Source organism: Homo sapiens, chromosome 13 (assembly GCF_000001405.40).
Source record: "Homo sapiens chromosome 13, GRCh38.p14 Primary Assembly".
Classification (NCBI taxonomy): domain Eukaryota; kingdom Metazoa; phylum Chordata; class Mammalia; order Primates; family Hominidae; genus Homo; species Homo sapiens.
The window spans coordinates 29,758,320-29,762,647 of record NC_000013.11 but is presented as its reverse complement, the minus strand read 5'-3'; the positions used below and the strand labels follow the sequence as shown (position 1 = coordinate 29,762,647).

The 4,328-nt window shown below is 41.2% G+C and overlaps 1 annotated feature.

The window, feature by feature from the left end:
• Positions 3,528 to 3,577: an enhancer, noted in NCBI's record as "active region_7522". NCBI's record gives its function as "activates an Ori minimal core promoter by ATAC-STARR-seq in GM12878 lymphoblastoid cells {active_cell/tissue: GM12878}" and the evidence as "EXISTENCE:reporter gene assay evidence [ECO:0000049][PMID:35858748]".

Below are 4,328 nucleotides of genomic sequence, written 5' to 3'. Positions count from 1 at the left end.
AGGTCATACATAGAGCTTAGACATGTTAACATAAGGACATAAACATAACTGTCAAAATCTGAGATGCTATTTGTTACTAGGGTACAAAAATACACTGTTCAAAAGAAATGGGTCTAATAAAGGTGGGAAACTATATCAAGAATACACAAAGGGAACTTAGACCTGAGAGGGAAAGTAAATGAGGAGTATGTGAATAATGAAAAAAGACAAAAATATGATTGTCAGGTTATATTGTACTTTTTCTTCATCAGATTAAGGCTATGGATTTCTGTTCTGAATCTGCAACAGGAAAACACAGAGACAAGACATGGTAGTGATGCAGTAGTTGGGCTATAAAAGACCTTGCTGGGTGTCTTGTTTGCTAAGAGTCCGATTAACTCTTGACTTGCTGATAATGCCATCCCATTAGGTTACCAGAAGTAACAAAACTGCTGCTCTGGGATTCATTTTGGCCCCGTGGGAAAGAATGATTCTAGAGGAAATGTTAGGAGCCTGCAGCGAACATAGGTGTGCACTCAAATGTTAGTAATGATGAGACTAAGGCAGACACTGGTGGTTGCTTCTCCAGCATCGCTGCTGCTTCCTTGCCAGGATATTGAGGAGTAACTGCTTTCCCCCACCTTGTGGCTTAGGGAAGTAGGACGTTATCCCAGCTCTGTCACCTTTGGTGTAATTGCTTTAGAAGTGGCCATGGGACTCCATCCTGGCAAAGGAGACATGAGGAAACTCTGCTGAGGGTGTTTCTGGGGAAAGTTCCTTCACTCCCAAGGAGACCTTGCAAGAGACTCTTTTTGCCTGTTTACATTATTTTGCCTGAACTTGATGACTGAAACTGCTATAGCCACATTTGGACCCAGAAGGGAGCTAACCTGAGGGCAAAGCCAGCACATTGAAGCTGTAGAGGAGAAAGGAAAAAACCTGCCCTTGCAGAGCTGCTGATTCTTTTTTAGCTTTTAAGTTCAGGCGCACATGTGCAGGTTTGTTATATAGGTAAACTCATGTCACAGGGGTTTGTTATACAGATTATTTCTTCACCCGGGTATTAAGTCTAGTACCCATTAGTTATTTTTCCTGATCCTCTCCCTCCCACCTTCTACCCTCTGGTAGGCCCCAGGGTCTGTTTTTCCCCTCTATGTGTCCATGTGTTCTTATCATTTAGCTCCTACTTATAAGTAAGAACATGCAGCATTTGGTTTTCTGTTCCTGCATTAGGTTCATAAGGATAATTATCTCCAGCTCCATCCCTGTCCCTGCAAAGGACATGATCTTATTCTTTTTTCATGGCTGCATAGTATTCCATGCTGCCTATGTACCACATTTTCTTTATCCAGTCTACCACTGATGGGCATTTAGGTTGATTCCATGTCTTTTCTGTTGGGAAGAGTGCTGCATGAACACATGCATGCATGTATCTTTAGGATAGAACGATTTATATTCCTTTGCATATATACCCAGTAATGGGATTGCTACGTCGAATAGTATTTCTGTTTTAAGTGTTTGAGGAAACGCCACACTTTTCCACAATGGTTCAACTAATTTACACTCCCACCAACAGTGTATAAGTGTTCCCTTCTACACAACCTCTCCAGAATGTGTTATTTTTTGACTTTAGTTACCTTTCATTATTTTTGAGACAGGGTCTCACTCTGGCCCAGGATGGAGTGCAGCGGCGTGAGCTTGGCTCACTGCAACCTCTGCCTCCTGGACTCAAGTGATCCTCCCACCTTAGCCTCGTGAGTAGCTGGGGCTACAGGCTTGTGGCTGGCTAATTTTTTATATTTATAGGGATGAGGTTTCTCCATGTTGCCCAGGCTGGTCTCAAACTCTCATGCTCAAGCAATCCACCAGCCTCAGCCTCCCAAAGTGCTGGGATTACAGGCAAGAGCCACCACACCCAGCCAATATTTGACTTTTAATAATAGCCATTCTGACTGTTGTGAAATGGTATTTCATTGTGGTTTTGATTTGCATTTCTCTAATGATCAGCGATGAGCTTTTTTTATACACTTCTTGGCCACGTGTATGTTCTCTTTTGAAAAGTGTTCATGTCTTTTGCCCATTTTTTAATGGGGTTGTTTATTTTATTCTTGTAAATTTGTTTAAGTTCCTGATGGATGCTAGATATGAGACCTTTGTCAGATGCATAGTTTACAAAATTTTTCTCCCATTCTGTAGCTTGTCTGTTTACTCTGTTAATAGTTTCTTTTCCTGTGCAGAGGCTCTTAAGTTTGATTAAATCCCATTTGTCAATTTTTGCTTTTGTTATGATTGATTGTGGTGTCTTCCTTATGAAATCTTTGCCCATTCCTATGTCCAGGATGGCATTGCCAAGGTTGTCTTCCAGGATTTTTATAGTTTCAGGTTTTATATTTAAGTCTTTATTCCGTCTTGAGTTGATTTTTTGTGGTGTAAGGAAGGGGTCCAGCTTCAGTTTTCTGCATATGGCTAGCCAGTTATCCCAGCACCATTTATTGAATAGGGAGTCCTTTCCCCACTGCTTGTTTTTGTCAGGTTTGTCGGAGATCAGATGGCCATAGAGTGTGGCCTCATTTCTGGGCTCTCTATTCCATTCCATTGGTCTATGTGCCTGTTTTTATACCAGTACCATGCTGTTTTGGTTACTGTAGCCTTGCAGTATAGTTTAAAGTCAGGTGGCATGATGCCTCTGATGTCTCCAGCATTGTTCTTTTTGCTTAGGATTGCCTTGGATATTGGGGCTCTTTTTTGGTTCCATATGGGATTTAAAATAGTTTTTTTTCTGGTTCTGGGAAGAATGTCATTGGTAGTTTGATAGGAATACCATTGAATCTATACATTGGAGGAGCTGCTGACTTTGCTAATTGTGGGGCCCGATGCTCTGTACTTCTTGAGAAGTAGTCTGTTCATTGGCGCTTTTTCCAGTTCAAAGCATGATATACATAGAAGACAGTGTTAGGCATCAACATCTACTCCAAACCTTATGAAATAAGCTTACAAAAAGATGAGATAAAATATGAAGATGCTTCTGTGTATTCAGATCTCTGAAAAATAAGTATCTGCTATATAGTCACAAATTATTCTGATGAAGGGAAAAGAGGTATCTAAAGAGACCATTGTGGCTACAAGTCAGCTCTCCAATCTCATAATTTTAAAAGACACGAACAGAAAGTGGGAGTTTGGATATATAAATCAAGGATGAATATAAGTGCCAAACACCTCTGAGAATAATGTTGGAAAGGCCTGGGATGAGCTAGAGTTGACAGAAAAATAATAAAAACTACATATTTGTTATGGTCACACAAAAGACAGCAGGGATACATCCCATGGTTCTCAAGTGTGGCTGTACATTAGAATCACTTAGGGAGTTATAATTTTTTACTTTTCAATATCGATGCCTGGGCCTCATACCACCCACCTTAAATCTGAACACCTATGGCTTGGAGCAGATGCCCTAGAAGGGAGCACACTCTAAAGCTGGGAATAAGAACAGTTAATGTGGAACTGGAAACCAACCGAGGTGATGAAGACAGGAAGCAGGTGCCCAGCTACCTTGGTTCAAGTCACCAGACCCAGTTAAAGTTATATTTCCGAGTTCTAAAGGACCTCATGCACTCTGAGTAACCTGTTCCTCTCCCAGTTTCATTGTCAGAAGTGGAGGGCAAGCCCCAGGCACTCTGTCGCAACCTCACCATTATCATCTGCTCTGAGACCACAAGGAACCGCAGACAGCCACGTCACCTCTCAGCGTCCTCACTGGAGTCTCTCTGTGGGCCCAGGACATCCCCTTTTCTATTCCCATTTTCTGTCACACACCATCCCCCATTCCAGAAACCCTTCACTGGCCTCTGGAGGTCAGGCTCCATTGGAAACTTGCCATATGCCCTCGACCTCCTCTCTGAAAGTTACCTTCACTTTCTTGCTCTGACCCCTGACTCCCCTGAGGGCACTGCCTCCTTTGCCATCCTGGGAGTGTTCTGTATTTTAAGGCTGTCATTTATTGACTGTTTACTTAGTGACAAGCACTGTTCTGTGGTCGTGACGTAGGTCCATTTTACAGATGATAAAACAGGCCCAGAGAAGTCCCATTTATTCTTTGAACATTGAAGTTTCATTTTCTCACGCAAAGACTACTCTTAAAAATATGACATAATTTTTTTCTGTTTTTTAAAATTGATATTTTTCCATTGTAGGACTGTAATCTCATGATTACAGAAAAGTATGAGGTGAAAAAAAAATGAATCCCACTATCCAAAATCAGCTCTTAATATCTTGGTGAATTTCCACTAGTCCTCTTTATTAATATGTATACATTAAAATAAAAATAAAAGAGTACTATATACAGAGTTTGT